General features: G+C 34.9%; 1 long non-coding RNA gene across 1 annotated transcript in view, besides 1 other annotated feature; it reads left to right on the forward strand.

Annotated features, from left to right (window-relative positions):
- The first annotated feature begins 7554 nt into the window (after positions 1-7554).
- The window catches only part of LOC102724150 (uncharacterized), a 52126-nt gene continuing 42217 nt past the window's right edge, over positions 7555-17463 (forward strand). The window contains exon 1 of the long non-coding RNA XR_001755912.1: positions 7555-7682. This is a non-coding gene — a long non-coding RNA (uncharacterized LOC102724150). The remainder of the gene's footprint in view (positions 7683-17463) is intronic.
- Positions 10385-10630: a silencer, noted in NCBI's record as "fragment chrX:88660958-88661203 (GRCh37/hg19 assembly coordinates)". NCBI's record gives its function as "represses an EF-1alpha promoter that drives an FKBP-Casp9 reporter gene in an ReSE screen in phorbol 12-myristate 13-acetate-treated (for megakaryocytic differentiation) K562 erythroleukemia cells {active_cell/tissue: K562(+PMA)}" and the evidence as "EXISTENCE:reporter gene assay evidence [ECO:0000049][PMID:32094911]".

The raw sequence follows: 17463 nt of genomic DNA on the forward strand, positions 1-17463 counted from the left end.
AGTTCTGTTATTATTGCTTTGTCTTGCTGTGGCTATTAAGGCTTTTTTTTTTGTCCATATGCCATATGAATTTTAGGATTGTTTTTTCTAGTTCTGTGAACAATGCTGGTGGTATTTTGATGGGAATTGCATTGAATTTGTAGATTACTTTTTGCAGTATGGTCATTTTAACAATATTGATTCTATCCGTTCATGAGTGTGGGATGTGTTTCCATTTGTCTGTGTTGTCTATGACTTATTTCAGCAGTAATTTGTAGTTTTCCTTATAGAGGTCTTTCACCTCCTTGGTTAGGAATATTCCTACATATTTTATTTTTGTTTATTTGCAGCTATATTAAAAGGGGTTGAGTTCTTCATTTGATTCTCAGCTTGGTGGCTGTTGGTATATAGCAGTGCTACTGATTTGTGTACGTTAATTTTGTATCATGAAAATTTACTGAATTCATTTAGCAGTTATAGGAGCTTTTTGGACGAGTATGATTTTCTAGGTATACAATCATATTATCAGTGACAGTTTGACTTTCTCTTTATCTATTTGTATTCCCTTTCTTTCTCTTGTCTGATTGCTCTGGCTAGGACTTCCAGTACTATGTTGAATAGCAGTGGTGAGAGTGGGCATCCTTTTCTTGTTCTAGTAGAATGGAACATTCAGTAAAATGTTGGCTGTGGGTTTGTTATAGATGGCTTTTATCACCTTAAGGTATGTCTCTTCTATTCTGATTTTGCTGAGGGTTTTAATCATAAAGGAATGCTGGATTTTGTCAAATGCTTTATCTGTGTATGTTGAAATGGTCATATGATATTTGCTTTTAATTTTGTTTGTGTTGTGTATCACATTTATTGACTTACATATGTGAAACCAAACCTGCACCCCTGGTTTAAAACCACTTGATCATGGTGGATTATCTTTTTGACATATTGTTGAGTTCAGTTAGCTAGTATTTTGTGGAGGGTATTCACATCTATATTCATCAGGAATATTGGTCTGTAGTTTTCTTTCTTTGTTATGTTCTTTCCTGGTTTTGGTATTAGGGTGATACTGGCATCATAGAATAATTTAGGGAGGAATCCCTTATTCTTTATCTTTTGGGATATTTTCAGTATGATTGCTACCAATTCTGCTTTGAATATCTGATAGAATTCAGCTGTGAATTTATCTGGTCCTGGGCTTTATTTTGTTTGCAATTTTTTATTACTGTTTCAATCTCACTACTTGTTTTTGGTCTGTTCAGAGTTTTTATTTCTTCCTGGTTTGATCTAGGAGGGTTGTATATTTCCAGGAATTTATTCATGTTCTCTAGGTTTTATAGTTTGTGCACATAAAGCTGTTCATAGTAACCTTGAATGATCTTTTATATTTCTGTGGTATTGGTTGTAATATTTCCCATTTCATTCCTAATTGAGCTTATTTGTATCTTCTCTATTTTTTCTTGGTCAGTGTAGCTAACGGCCTATTGACATTGTCTATCTTTTCAAAGAACTAGCTTTTCGTTTTGTCTTTTGCATTTTTAAATTAATTTCAACTTCATTTAGTTCTGCTCTTAGCTTTGTTATTGTCTTCTGCTGGGTTTGAGTTTATTTTGTTCTTGTTTCTCTAGTTCCTTGAAGTGTGATCTTAAATTGTCTATTTGTGTTCTTTCAGACTTTTTGTTGGAAACATTTAATGCTATGAACTTTCCTCTTAGTACTGCTTTTGCTCTATCCCAGAAGTTTTGATAAGTTGTGTTACTATTATTGTTCAATTCAAAGACTTTTTAAATTTCCATCTTGATTTTACTGTTTACCCAATGATCATTCGGGAGCAGGTTACTTCATTTCCATGTATTTGTAGGGGAATGTTTCCTTTTGGAGTTAATTTCCAATTTTATTCCACTGTGATCTGAAAGAGGACTTGATATAATTTTGATTTTCTTCAATTTCTTGAGCCTTGTTTTATGTCCTATCATATGTCCTATCTTGGAGAATGTTCCATTTTCTGATGAAAAGAATGGATATTCTGCAGTTGTTGGGGAGAATGTTCTGTAAATATCTGTTGTGTCCATTTATTCAAAGGTATCGTTTAAGTCCATTTATTATTTGTTGACTTTCTCTCTTGATGACCTGTCTAGTGCTGTCAGTGCAGTACTGAAGTCCTCCACTCTTATTGTGTTGCCTTCTATCTCATTCCTTAGGTCTAGTAGTAATGCTTTTATAAATTTGGGAACTCCAGTGTTTGGTGCATAAATATTTAAGATTGTGATATTTTCCTGTTGGACTAGTTATTTTATTATTATACAATGTCCCTCTTTGTCTTTTTTAACTGTTGTTGCATTAAAGTTTATTTTGTCTGATATAAAAATAAATACTCCTCACTTTTGGTGTCATTTGCATGGAATATCTTTTTCCACCTCTTTAATTTTATGTGAGTCCTTATGTGTTAGATTATTCTCTTGAAGAAAGCAAATACTTGGTTGGTGTATTTTTATCCATTCTTCCATTCTGTATCTTTTAAGTGGCACATTTAGGCCATTTACATTCAATGTTAGTATTGAGATGGGAGGTACTGTTGTATTCATCATGCCAGTTGTTGCCTGAATACCTTGGTTTTTTTTTTATTGTGTTATTGTTTTAGAGGCCCTGTGAGATTTATTCCTTAAGGAGGTACTATTTCGGTGTATTTAGAAGTTTTGTTTCAAGATTTGAACTCATTTTAGCATTTCTTGTAGTGCTGGCTTGGTAGTGGCAAATTCTCTCAGCATTTATTTGTCTTAAAAAGGCTTTATCTCTCCTTCATTTATAAAGCTCAGTTTCATTGAATACAAACTTTTTGGCTGATAAATATTTTGTTTGAAGGTCTAAGATAAGACCCCAATCCTTTCTGGCTTGTAGTGTTCTGCTGAGAAATTTGCTATTAATCTTATCAGTTTTACTTTATAGGTTACCTCATGCTTTTGCCTCATAGCTCTTAAGATTCTTTCTTTTGTCTTGACTAGATAACCTGATGACTATGTGTCTAGATGATTATCTTTTTTGAGATGAATTTCCCAGGTGTTCTTTGTCCTTCTTGTATTTGGATGTCTAGATTTCTAGCAAGACCAGGGAAGTTTTCCTCAATTATTTCCTGAAATATATTTCTCAAACTTTTAAGATTTCTCTTCTTTCTCAAGAACAGCAATTATTCATATGTTTAGTTATTTAGCATAATCCCATACTTCTTGTGGGCTTTATTTTTAAATTCTTTTTCCTTTTCTTTGTTTGATTAATTTGAAAGCCTTGTCTTTGAGCTCTGAAGTTCCTTCTTCTCCTTTTTTGATTCTGTTGTTAAAACTTTCCAATGTATTTTGCATTTCTCTAAGTATATCTTTCATTTCCAGAAGTTGTGATTGTCTTTTCTTCATGATATCTATTTCTCTGGAGACTTTTTAAAATGCATATCCTATATTTTTTAATGTATTTAACTTCATTTTCACCTTTCTCTGGTACCTGCTTGAGTAGCTTAATAATTAACCTTCTGAATTCTTTATCTGGCATTTCAGAGTTTTATTCTTGGTTTGGATCCATTGCTGGAGAGCCGGAGTGATCTTTTGGGAGCGTTATAGAAACTTGTTTTTTCATATTACCAGAATTACTTTTTTGATTCCTTCTCATGTGGGTAGAGTGTTTCAGTGGAAGGATCTGGAAATCAAGGGCTGCTGTTCATATTCTTTTGTCACGTGAGACACATTTTGTCACATGGCTTGAGCTGGGGACCTGGAGTGCCTACAGGGCTCTTCCCACTGCTTCTTCTACTTTTTATATTTCTCTCAGCTCCCTAAAACAATTTCAGTTCTAGGTAAGGTTGAATCCTTCTGCTGTGATCTAGATTTTCAGGTTGCCCAGTGGGGATGTGTGTTCAGAGGCACACTTTTTCCCCTTCACACTTTAGGAACTCACAGTTTTTTGTGATGTGATGTGATGTTGTGCTATCCCTGTTCCCCTAAGTATGGGGCTTCCTGAGATCCCGACTGCAGTGATTGGTAATGCCCTTCCATGTCTAGCTACTTTGCAGGGCTAGCAGGCTCCAGGATGTTGCTGGGGAATGTTTGCAGAGTCCTGTGATGTGATTCATCTTTAGGTTTCCCAGCCTTGGATACCAGCCCCTGCTCCAATGGAGGTGGCAGGGGAATGAGGTTGACTCTGTGGGAGTCCTTGGTTGTAGTTTTGTTTAATGCACTGGTTTTCTCAGATGTTGGTTATGCTAACAGTGAATTTTTCATGTGACAGACTCAGGTCCTCTGGTTAGCTAGGGTGTTATAGGTGGTGGAATTGGCTGTTGTTTTCTTTTTTGATGGAGCACGATATAGTCTTGTTATGAGTTGCTATAATGGCTTGAGTTGGTTGGCCTCCAGCCAGGAGGTGGTGCTTTCAAGAGAGCTCAAGCTGCAGTAGCAGAAGGGAGATATAAGCTTGCCCTATGTTGCCTATGATAAGTATTCTAGTTTCTCAGAAAATGGGTGGTGCTACAGAGCTCCCCACAGTTCATGTCTTTTATCTTCAGCTACCAGGGTAGGGAGAGAAAAACCATCTGGTGGGGGCTGGGTTAGGTGTGTCTGAGCTCAGGCTTTTCTTGGGCAGGCCTTGCTATGGCCACTACAGAGGATGGGGGTATGGTTCTCAGGCCAATGGAGATATGTTCCCATTTGGATTATGGCTGCCACTGTGGCATCATACAGGTTGCCAGGGAAGTGGGCGAATGCCAGCAGTGACAGGCCTCAACCAGGTCCCATGCAGCCAGCAAGGCCATTCTCACTCCCACTGTGCCCCACCAGCAGCACCAAGTTTATATTCAGGTTATACCCAGGCCGCTGGTGAAAAGGGCTAACATCTTGCCACAGGCTACAAGCCTCCCAGCTAATACAGCAAGCAGGGCTCTCAGGCCTCACCCCTCCTTGCCTGCCTGCACCATGGGTGCAGCTTTTGCACTTGTGTCTGCACTTCTCATTTTCCCCACACCCCCATGCCCCAGGATTCTGCCCAAAAAAATTCATGCTCTGTCAAAATTATTACAAAGTTCAGCTAGAAGTTTCTTTAATTCTGAGGCCTTTCCCCAATTCCACTGGCTGCCCTCCCCAAGGGCCCGTGTGAGATAAAACCAGGAATGGTTCCCTGGGCTTGAGCTGGGGACCTGGAGTGCCCACAGGGCTCTTCCCACTGCTTCTTCTACTTTTATATTTCTCTCAGCTCCCTAAAACAATTTCAGTTCTAGGTAAGGTTGAATCTTTCTGCTGTGATCTAGATTTTCAGGTTCCCCAGTGGGGATGTGTGTTCAGAGGCACACTTTTTCCCCCTCACGCTTTGGGAACTCACAGTTTTTTGGCTGTCACATGGAGTTTGCAGTGGCAAACCACTTCTTTCAAAGGGTCTGTGAATTCTTTCCTGATGGTTAATATTTTTTATTAACACAGGCTGGTTAGGCTTAGTAACATCCTTAATATAGGTCAATCAAAGGAGTGGTCAAGTTTTTGTTATGAAAATAGTAACATAGCTCTGTGGAATGCAGACTGGAGGGAAAGAAAGAAATTATTAGCAGAAAAACTATTTATAAAGTTGCTTTAATAGTTTATAAGAAAAAGACATTAAGGCCTAAACAAGGAAAATGACAGTGTCACTTGAAAGGAGAGGTATCATTAGACATATTTCAGATTTTACCCAGACCACTTGATAATCAATTAGATAAGAAATTAAGGAGCATGAAAACTAACTTGGAATATTATTTTTAAAATAAACAGAAATAAAGTGTGTAAAGAAGCTTGCCTGGCATATAGTAGCACTTCAGTTAGTCCCAGTAATTATAATAATAACTATATTAATAAAATAAATAAAACTATTATATTTATTGGTGGTAGAATGACATGAAGTAAAGAGAAGAAGACATAAAATCTATCCTTAAACATTTTGGAGGCTGTTACCTTTGCCATATAAATACTTGAGTCTTTGCTTAGAAACATTGCAGATTCAAGGATAGAAAAAAAACTAGTAAAAATCAGGGCATGAACAATAGTTACATCTCCTTTAATCATTTTGAACTTTCTTCCTTCTTTCTTCTTGACATTGCATCCATTATCTCTTGTTGCCCCTTTCCCTATTTTCTGCTTCTGTTCACATTTTCTTTACAACGGTTTCTAATAAAAATTGCTTATTGCTACTTAGTCACCATTATTTTTCTTTGCACAATAAAAATATTCTGAGGGCAAATTTTGAAACTTGACATTTGTCAATAATCCTCCTGCTAGGAAAAGACCAAAATTGTTTTATCATTTTTTTTTCTAAAAAAAAATCCCTTCTGTATTTAAATTATCTTATGTAGCAGGATTCAGGTCATTTTTCTACAAATGAAAACTGCAAAACAACTGATATTGCCTATCTATAATCCACAGCACAAAGTCCAGATTTTGTTCTTTTCTATATAGGCTCTCTGAAATAATGTGAAAATCTGACTTTTTTTTTTTTTGCCTTTTCTCTAAATGTTACCTCCCTTTTACCTCATCCAATGGCTACAAATATTGTTTTCCTTTTTTCTGAAAAAATCATTCTCATGAGTGCCATGCTCTTTGCACATGCTCTTTCTTTGCCTGGGAAGCCCTTCACCAACTTTTAATACAGTGCAATCTAATTCTTATCCTTCAGCTCAACTAAATTCCATTTCCTTTGAGATGCCTCCTTTCATTTCTTCAAAGAGGGAACATATATGTTGCCACAGAACTTTTGCAAATCTGTATTATAGAACTTAACACATTGTAGTTATTTGTAGACGTATTTGTCTCTTTCAGATTGAGCTACCAGAGAGAACGGGTGACATTCTAGTAATTTATATATTTCTTGAATGAAGCACTCATCAGTATGATTAAGAGATAGTAGTTTCTTAGTTAATATGTGACAGCAGAAGAAGTGAATGAATAAGTAATTTAATGAAGTCTTATGACTGACACTGTGGTAGACACTAGGTTCCCTGTGCTTTTTTTGTAGTGCATATTCTTCTTTTCTTGTCAGGCAGCATTCTTATTAAACTGAGAAGATAATCTAAAATGGCCTATAAATGCTTTCCAGAAGATCAAATAAATATTCCTATGTAAGGCCTAGGTGAAATTTATGAGGCTACAAGAATGGTGAAATGAGATCAGTCAGTCAAGTGTGGAGGAAAGTAATTACGGCTGGAAAAGATTTAAACTATTAGAGAAGACTGGATTAGAGAATATTAATATTCTAGAAAATAACAAGCTTATGACAGGAATACTATATCAGAGTCAAGAGAAAACAAAAGTATAGGTAAAGACTGAATTTATCATAGCCCAAGACAAGGAGCAGGAACTGACTTTTAGTCAACAGTATTTATTGAGTCCCTACTATGTGTGCCAAAATAAAAAATTAACTAAGTACTGGGTAACAGATAAAGAAATGATTATGAAAGCTGGCAAATAGGAAGTGAGAGATGAAACTAAAGATTTAGTTTTACTTGCACACTGACCTTGCAATTTCCCCAATGTAATTTTGTCTGATCTGAGTTGTGGCAAGATATCCTGTTTTTTGTAGTTACAGGTATTCCTGCTGAGAGTCATTTCCTGTGCTGGATTTACCATCACAGGGACCAGATTTATAGAAAAATGAACATGTATTGTTGCTAAATGGAGTTGGTCATGGAGTGGAAACTAACAATATGTTCACCTGTAAGTTTTTAAGTGCTGTGCCAAGAAAGGCTCTTTGGAGGCCATTGCCATAATCTACTGTTTACATTTGTGCATTTAGTTTCCGGGAAATATTTTTTAAACCTATCCTAGGAGCTATTCAGAACCATAGAGGCTATTTCAGTTCCCCTATCGACTGTGAAATGGAGATCTACATTCAAAATTTAGCCTGAGTTCTTTAGAATCCTAGTGCATGCAATTGTGAGCTCTAAAACAATGTGGTTATATCTGCTTTGGGAAATCTAGTATTCAAGTAGCTAAATTTAGAGTTTTTGCCATTATAGAAGAAGTGTTAACTGTGCAAAATCATTTGCTAATGAGTATCAAGCTTTCTGGGAACGTTTATATGATCTGTAACAGTAAACAAACTACACACAATTTTCAGGGTGTTACGTATATTTGCCCAAAGTGGATTATCTGTAATATCTACACTAACTTAACTACCATTTATTTTCTGATATCAGAAAATTTCAGATTTAACTTTTACTCAGGCATTTTTTCTATGAGGAAGGTTGAGCTGAAGGATAAATGAAACATAATTGCTTTATTATGTGTTACCTATCAGGCAATGTACCTTTGAGTTACTAGCACTCGCATGAGAGCAATGAAGCTGAAAACATTTTAGGGAAAATTCAAATAGGTTGGCATAGCTGGTATGTTTGGGGCTGATAAAGAGGTTGATGAAGAAGAGCTAGGAAGCACATAATGTAAGTCAAACCTGAGTTGAAGAAACAGAGATTTGTGCTCTGAGAACTTATTGGAGGACCAGCAACCTTGCTCACAGGGTTACGCCTTCAGTGCTATTGAAAGCACATACTTGGGACTTAACATCTGATAGTTAAGAAAGATAATTTGATAATAAGAAGTTTTAGTATTAAAAAATAGGCATTTTAAGCTCCTATGTTTAATGGTTCCTGGATAGAAAACCATTGCTGTTTTTTTTCCCCTCTGGATATGTAGAAATTAACTGGAAAGTTGTTTGAACAACAGTATGCTACACCTTGAATCTATTTTAGGAACATTCTTTCATGGCATATATTCACTTGATCATAAAAGGTGGTTCTCATTCAGGCAGATAAACAAAAAGCACAAAAAAGAAAATTAGATGACTGCCAATGTACATCAGACATAAATTACTGTCATTAAGAATTACTGTAAAAAGAGATCACACATTGTGTAGTTAAATATTTAATTCTTCTTGTATCCTGAGATACCAGTTAATATTCTTTCCTTTTAGCATAGAACTTAATTTGGTAGTTTCTTCTGGGTCCTAGGAATAAAGAATGCACTGATATTCATTGATGCTCACTACTAGATTTTAAAGCAGACTATTACTTAAAAGCATTTGGCTAATTGTCAAATGCAAGTAAAATTACTTTGGTTCTTTTTGTAATGGAAATTGAAATGCCATATTAGAGTATTTGATCAAAGAAAAGGAAAAATGTGGTAAGAAAACACTTCTATAGCAATGAGGTAGGGTTTTCAATAAGATTATTAATATTGTGACTCAGGGACATTACTAAAAAATTAAAAATAAGATTATGAATAAAATAAGCATACTAGAATACAATCTAAAATAATCTTTAAATGTCATGATTCATGTTATACAAAGCCCTGCAGTCCAGGATAGTTAAATCTTTTGCTCTTGTCTGTGAGCATTACTTATCACCGGATTTGGAACAACAGGTTTTGTTTTTGGTTTTATGCTTTGTTTTCCACTTCTACCATGGAAAATGTTTAATTCTTTAGATGCTTTCTCACATTTTTCTAATACTAAATTTTTAGAAAATAGTGAATTATGACTTTTACTCCAAAGTGTAGAAGGAATACTTGCCTTAGGAAAAAACAGTTTTGCTTTATCAGGAATGCCTTCTGAGGAGTTTTACATGTCCCCTAATAAATTGCACCTATATCCCTCTGCCTAATTTCTGAACAAACTGAAAAATAAAGACATTGCTATTCAAGGACCAAGATATCACCTTATAGATGATAAAATCAAAAGTGATGGGTGCAGCTTAGCGTAAAATCCACAAGTGCTACCTACTGAATGCCAGAAGTAGAAGGTCTTAGCCAGTAGAAGGCAGTATTGAACCAGTACCCACCAGATATGTGTTGATGAAGGGAACACTCTGGAAGAGTAATGTAATTCCAAGCAAGGAAAAAAAATGAAGCTAAGTTATTCTTCTCAGTTTTACCAATTAGTTAAATCATCCTCCATTACCTGGGGACAGAGTGAGTAAAGAAGCAAGCCAATGCCAGAAATGTGTTTGGAAAAACATGTGGGGAGAGATTAAGTCTGTACCTTACCAATTGTGAGAAATCATTGATATTATAAATTTCAATTTAAAAATATTAATAAACTCTATTTTTGAGAAGTTTTTAGGTTTACAGGAAAATTGAGAGAAAAGTACAGAGTTGCAATACACTCCATGTCACCGTCCACTCTGACCCCCAGCAATTAGCAATTTATCTTGTTATTAACACATTTAGTTTTTGTGATACATTGATTATAATGGATGCGCTAATATTGATACATTATAATTAAACTCCATAGTGACATCAGAGTTCACTCTTGCATATAGTATGTGTTTTGACAAATGTTTAATAACATGTATCTACTCTTATAGTATCATACACAATAGTTTTACTGCCCTAAAACTTCCCTGTGTTCCATCTATTCATCCTTTTCTAACTCCATTGAAAGCCCTTGATAACTGCAGATCCTTTAATATCTCCATAGTTTGGCCGTTCCCACCCAGAATGTCATATGGTTAAAATCAAGTACTACACAGCATTTTCAGTTTCTTTCACTTAACAATATGTACTTGAGGTTCCTTTTTGTATTTTCATTTTTTTTCTTTTTTTGAGACAGAGTTTCGCTCTTGTTGCCCAGGCTGGAGTGCAATGGCGCGGTCTCGGCTCACCGCAACCTCTGCCTCCCAGGTTCAAGCAATTCTCCTGCCTCAGCCTCCCGAGTAGCTGGGACTACAGGCATGCAGCACCACTCCCGGCTAATTTTGTATTTTTAGTAGAGATGGGGTTTCTCCATGTTGAGGCTGGTCTCAAACTCCTGACCTCAGGTCATCCGCCCGCCTCGGCCTCCCAAAGTGCTGGGATTACAGGCGTGAGCCACCGCGCCCAGCCCTTTTTTGTATTTTCATGGCTTGATAGCCCATTTCTTTTTATCATTAAATAATATTTTACTATATGGATATACAACACTGTGTTTATCCATTCACTTAGTGAAGGACATATTGGTTACTTCCAGGTTTGGGAAATTATGAAAAAGATTATTATAAACATTTTTGCACAGGTGTTTGTGGGGATGTCAGTTTTTAACATATTTGGGTAAATAGTTTTGAAAGAAACTATGACATTGTCTTCCAAAGTGCCTGTATTACTTTGCATTAGTACCAGCAATGCAAAGGACTTCCTATTACTCCACCTCTTTGCCAGCATTTGGTGTGATTGGAGGTTTTTTTTTTTTTTTTTTTGCCATTCTAATAGATATGTATTAGTATCTTGTTGTTTTAATTTTCAGTTCACTAATAGCATATGTTGCTGAACACCTTTTCATAGGCTTATTTGCCATTTATGTGTCTTCTTTGGTCAGGTGCCTGCCACATGTTTTGCTAATGTGTTAATTAGGTCGTTTGTGTTCTTATCTTTAAGTTCAAATAGTTTATTATGTGCATTTGAATACCAGTCCTTTATCAGGTATGTCCTTTGAAAAGATTTTCTCCCACTCTGTGGCTTATCTTTTCATTCTCTTGTATTTTTCAGAGCAGAAGTTTTTAATTTAAATAAAGCTCAACTATATATATTTTTTATTTTATGGATTTTGCTTTTGGTGTTGTAGCTAAGAAGTCATTGCCAAATCCAAGATCACCTAGATTTTCTCCTATGTTATCTTCTAAAAGTGTAATAGTTTTGTTCTATATTTAGGTTTATGGTCCACTAAAGTTAATTTTTATGAAAGATGTAAGATCTGTGTCTAGATTTGTTTTTGTTTTTGTTTGCATGTGAATGTTTGTTCCAACACTACTTTTTAAAAGTCTATACTTTCTCTACTGAAGCACATTCACATATTTTTGTCACGGATCAGTTGACTATATTTGTATGAATCTATTTCAGAGCTCTCTATTCTACCTGTATGTCTATCATTTTACCAATACTACACTGTCTTGATTATTCTGACTTAGCTATTAGTCCTGAAGTCAGCTAATGTAAGTTCTCCTATTTTTTCTTCTCCTTCAGTGTACCGTTGTCTCCTCTGGGTCTTTTGCTTTTCCACATACAATTTAGAATCAGTTTGTCAATATCCACAAAATAACTGGCTGGGGATTTTATAAATGTCAGGCTTAAGTTTTCCTGTTTTTTTTTTATTATTATTATTTTGTGCTCTTCAACCGCCACATTCCCATTAGCAGAAATGTGACTAAGAGATCAAGAGGAAAATATACAGAAAATTATCATTTTAAGAACATTTGAATGGTGATGTCTAAATTTCTACTTTGCTATACAGGTCTTGATAAATTACAGTAGAGTTGATCAAATATAATACTTCTTAGGAAAGAGGATGTACTTTGGTATTTATATGTGTGTTTAAAAATGTCACAATGAAAATATAAATGCAGTATATATCTTTCTTGGACAAAAATCAATATGCCACTTTGAGAGTCTTGACTGGCAGAAAATATCATATCAAAAATCACATCAAGATAGAATTTATTTTCTATTAGAAATGCTCTTATTCAGTCAGCGCTATCTGATTCTGCTTTATTTTTCCATTACGGTAGATTAATCCTGAACTTCTTCCTTAACTCTAATGAAATCTCATGTTACATTTTATGTAAATATTCAGGCATATATATATTATATATATATAAAACTATCATATTTCATTGTAATACCTGTTTTTGCCATTTTGGCTGTGTTTATCTAAATATAATCATATTTTATTTTTACTAATCTTTTGAGTGTGTGTGTATGTGTGTGTGTGTCCTTCAGTTAAGTTCTTGGCAATCCCTGGATGTATTATTTTGTTTCTGTTTCCTATTTTTCAATAACTATATGTTAATTATAACATTAACAATTACACTTAAAATGGATGATGAACTACATTTCAATCAAACACAACTTGTTGCTTCTGTGCATGGATAGAATTTTGAACTTTAACATTGTTTCTGACAAAAAAAAACATTAACTCTTTGCAGATAATGTAAATCCAGTTGATAAAATAACATGCAGATTTGATTCCTGCTTACACAGAGAAAAGATTTGTTAAGATTGGCAAAAAGAAAACTTGACCATTGTTATCTGGCATTTTAAAACTAATAACCAATCTTGTCTTACTTTTATTCAGTCTAACCTTTATTTCATATTAATTAAAATAAAGCAAAACAAAACATAATTATAAATGCAGAGATATTGCTGAATGAAATTGTCTCTGAAAATAGATCACTGAAATTTGGAGAAGAAACAAAGATCATAGATAGTAAGAAGAAAGAAACAATTGTTAATTTATAGGTGGATGATACCATTAATATTATCTTAAATATAAAAATTATTTGCACGTCTGCATCTGATTCTAGGAAAGTATATATTTTCAATCAATGTTGGTATATATACATATATATAGTATTTTGAAACAACATAATTATTTCCTGAAGTATTTTTGTTGTTCTTTTTCCCTTAAGCCCATGTATGATTCTTGTTTAGAAGGTGAAAGCTCAACATTTTGTAGAATTTAATATTAATGTATTATATCTCTACAAGGATTTATAATTTTCAAAACAATGAATTAGTAAACAATAAAGCAACAACTTCTAACTCATATTTTTCTACATTTGAATGGATGGATAATTGTGAGCACTGTCTTCTCAACCACTTGGAAAAGAGCTCTGCACTGGAGTCTCATCTTCTCACCATGTACTTTAAGAATAGAGAACATGTGGTACATGGCATTTAAGAGATGGTGAAACAATTGGAAATAGTCAAAAATCCATTCATTGTGTAGAGACGAATCAAGTGTCTCATGACATTTCATTTAAGGCTGTCTCTGATTTTGACTCTACTAATTTTGTTCATCAGGTTGACTTCATTCATCTTCTGTAATTTAAGGGTAACATTTCTAATAAGACTTCCGCTGAGTTGATATAATTAAGTAAGAAACAAAATATTAAGTTACTGTTAAAGGTGTGTGTTTTGTTTTGAGACCACAGTCTTGCTCTGTCACCCAGGCTGGAGTTCTGTGGCGTGATCTCGGCTCACTGCGACCATGGCCAGCTAACTTTTATATTTTTAGTAGAGATGGGGTTTCTCCATGTTGGCCCGGCTGGTCTTGAACTCCTGGCTTCAAGGGTCCACCTGACTCAGCCTCCCAAAATGCTGGAATTACAGACGTGAACCACCGTGCCTGACCAAAGGTGTGGTTTTTCTTAAACGTGTTTTTAATGGATCAGAGGAGAAGCCAGGTAAGGACACTATTCTGTACTTGCTCTGACTTTCTTTAATCTCAGCAAACTATTTCCATACTCTAGTTGAATCAGTATAGATCAAGTGAATGGCCAAAAATATCATCAATTCATGTTAATGATACAATTGTGTCCTATGAGGTTTGTTGTTTTTAGTTTTATTTTTGCTTCTTTTTCTGGGCTTCAAGTTTATGCTTTCTATGCACTTTAGTAAAAATCATTGTGTGACCAAGAGAAGCACAAATATTGCTGTCCAAACTGGTCACGCTTCTCCTTCATTTGCCAATATTCACAGACTTATAACTTGGTACCCAAAAACTCTCTCAAGGCTCAGATATCTGAAGTTTCTAGTCTATCAGTGTTCTTAAGAATTAAAAAGTTATCATTTATTAGAATATTAGAAATTTTATTAGAGATAAATTTATGCCATTCTATAATGCATCCTGCCTAAGTTATTTGAGTAGCCAATAACAATAGAAGGAATATAAACAAGTAACCCAGAATGTCCCTTGAATTTAGCATTACATGTACAAAATGTTTAGTATACAATTTTGCCAACATATTTCAGCTCATAGACATATTATAATATGCTATATATATGGATAATGTAAATTAAGAAAACATATATTTATTTTGTTATGGCTAATTCTCAGAAAATAAAAGTAAATAAGTCTCTTGGGAGCCAAACTGAAAGTTGAGGGTTTCAAAAATGGTGTTATTTGCCGAGAAATGAAATATAATTAAACATTTTTTTTTTTTTTTTTTTTTTTTTTTGAGACAGAGTCTCACTCTGTCGCCCAGGCTGGAGTGCAGTGGCGCGATCTCAGCTCACTGCAAGCTCCACCTCCCGGGTTCACGCCATTCTCCTGCCTCAGCCTCCCAAGTAACTGGGACTACAGTTGCCTGCCACCATGCCTGGCTAATTTTTTTTATATTTTTAGTAGAGACTGGGTTTCACCGTGTTAGCCAGGATGGTCTCGATCTACTGATCTCGTGATCCACCCGCCTCAGCCTCCCAAAGTGCTGGGATTACAGGCGTGAGCCACCGCGCCCAGCCTAAACAATCATTTTTAAAGAAATGTAAGGCCTATATTTGATTAGGAGAACCAAGTCTCCTCCTATATCATGAGCCTAACTCTGAATGACCAGACACAGAAGTCTACTGCTGAAAGTTGTATGATCATAGAGAGAGACTCCTACAGAATTAACAGAACTATTCATGATCCTTTGAAAGTTGAGGGTGAAGCAAGCATATTGACAAAACTCTCCAGCACTCTAGGATTCACACTAAGCAAGAGGTAGCAGCAGACTCACTGCTGGAGGAATTTGAAGTTTGTGGTACAATGAAAGTAACCATAGCAACAACAAAATCCAAACTGAGCTCAATTCCAGATGTGGCTGAACCAACTTCCTTCTCTTTCCCTAACCACCTCACAGTCTGTATGAAATAAACACTAAAGCCTTGACAGATGAATACACATCATTTTCCATTTGGTTGTTTTAAAGGTGTACTTGTCACTGCAGGAAGATATAACACTCATTTAACAGTATAACATTTAATGTTCAGATTTATGTTAAGCAGGCTCCCAATTTTACTTTTGCTCTGTGTGTATTCTTGCACATATTATGCCCAACTCTAGATCTCAGAAAACTATGTGGCACCAATAGCTAGCATGAAATTGAAATGCTATAGATGGACATCTATGTTGTCTCTATCTCTGTTACCACAGATTACTTCTCTGTTTTTTTTTTTTTCTAACTGAACAAGATAATTCATAGCTCTTTGTGCTCCTGGCAGAAGTTTATTTCTTTTTAAATATTTCCCCCAGGCATAGAGTTACTCAATCATAAGAATCCTCAATTGTACTAAATACTTTGATAATGACTTCCAAAATGGCCACAGCAGTTTTAATTCCCAATGACTATATATTAAGGGTTGCTGTTCCCCCAACCTCCACCATTTGAAATTAGTTGACTTTCCATTTTCCTCCTAGTAATACTAACGCAGCACATGTGTTGCTTTACATTTCACCATTTCAATTACTGGTGATGTTTACCATCTTTTCACATAATTGTTGGTCATTTGTGTGACCCCCTCCATTCACTCAGTATTATCTAAGCGACTATTTTCTGCCAAGCTTTGCACTAGGCAACTAGTGATCAAACAGTGAACGATTTATTCATATTGCTTGCCTGTTTTTTGTGTTACTGTGTTTTCTTTTGCACCTTCTGTCTTTTTATGGTGGATTTGGGAGAATTATTTGCATGTATTACATATTAATCTTTTATTGGTCATCAACACTGCAAAGTTTATCTCAGTCTCTATCTATTACCTGTTTATTTGATTTTCTTCTTTGAATAGAAATGGAATCCTCATTTTTAAATAGCACGCAAGATAATTCCAATGCAGATGGTTCTTTACAATAGCTGGAGAACTCTTGGATCTAGATTTGTTCTCATTTATCCATGTTTTAGAAAGCATATATGTGAAAGTAATATATTTAGATGGCAGTGACAAAAGTTTGCTTTCTACTTGAAGAGAGCAGCATCTTTCTGGAACAGCTAATGCAGAGGATTCTGAACCAGGAAATACTGTTCTATTCAATTAAATTTCCTTATATTAATATGTTGAAACAAGAGCATGTCATAACCAGTGTAATGAATGTTGTGTCTTTTTTAAAACCTCTAATGTAATTATATTGCCTTTAGTGTCTGAAAATGTGTTACTATTCTAAATCAAATGATTCCACCATCATTTTCATTTTCATTAGTTTTAATTCTTTTTATAATCAGTGGATCTTCTGAAAGCCGTCATAACCTAATATCAGAAACCAGATAGAGTATGGCTCTCTCAAAGTGTTATCAATCAGGGCACCTAATATCTTCAAATTATTTTGGGTTTTATTTAAGCACTATTACTCTTTTTGGCTAAAGTTTTATGTGACTATGAAAGCATAAATACCTTTTTTGATACTTATTTCAGTTTTGAAGACCAACTTATGTTTTCCTATGAGAAATATTTTGCATCTATTATATTATGCTTTCTAGGCCTAATTTATTTGAAGAAAATATAATAATTAGGTGGAAAAGAAATATTGTCAAGTGTTCTTCAACTTAATTTTTGTTAAAATCATAATTTGACATTAAAGTCTAAAATCTGTCTTGCTTCTCATGAAGGTAAGTCCCCATAATTTCTTTTCTGTGATATATACCTAAGCAATACCTTAAAACGATACTTTAACTGGGTTCAAAAATCAATTTGAACTCAAAAAAGGCAGTTGAATTTT

The sequence above is a fragment of the Homo sapiens genome, chromosome X, assembly GCF_000001405.40.
Source record: "Homo sapiens chromosome X, GRCh38.p14 Primary Assembly".
Taxonomy (NCBI): domain Eukaryota; kingdom Metazoa; phylum Chordata; class Mammalia; order Primates; family Hominidae; genus Homo; species Homo sapiens.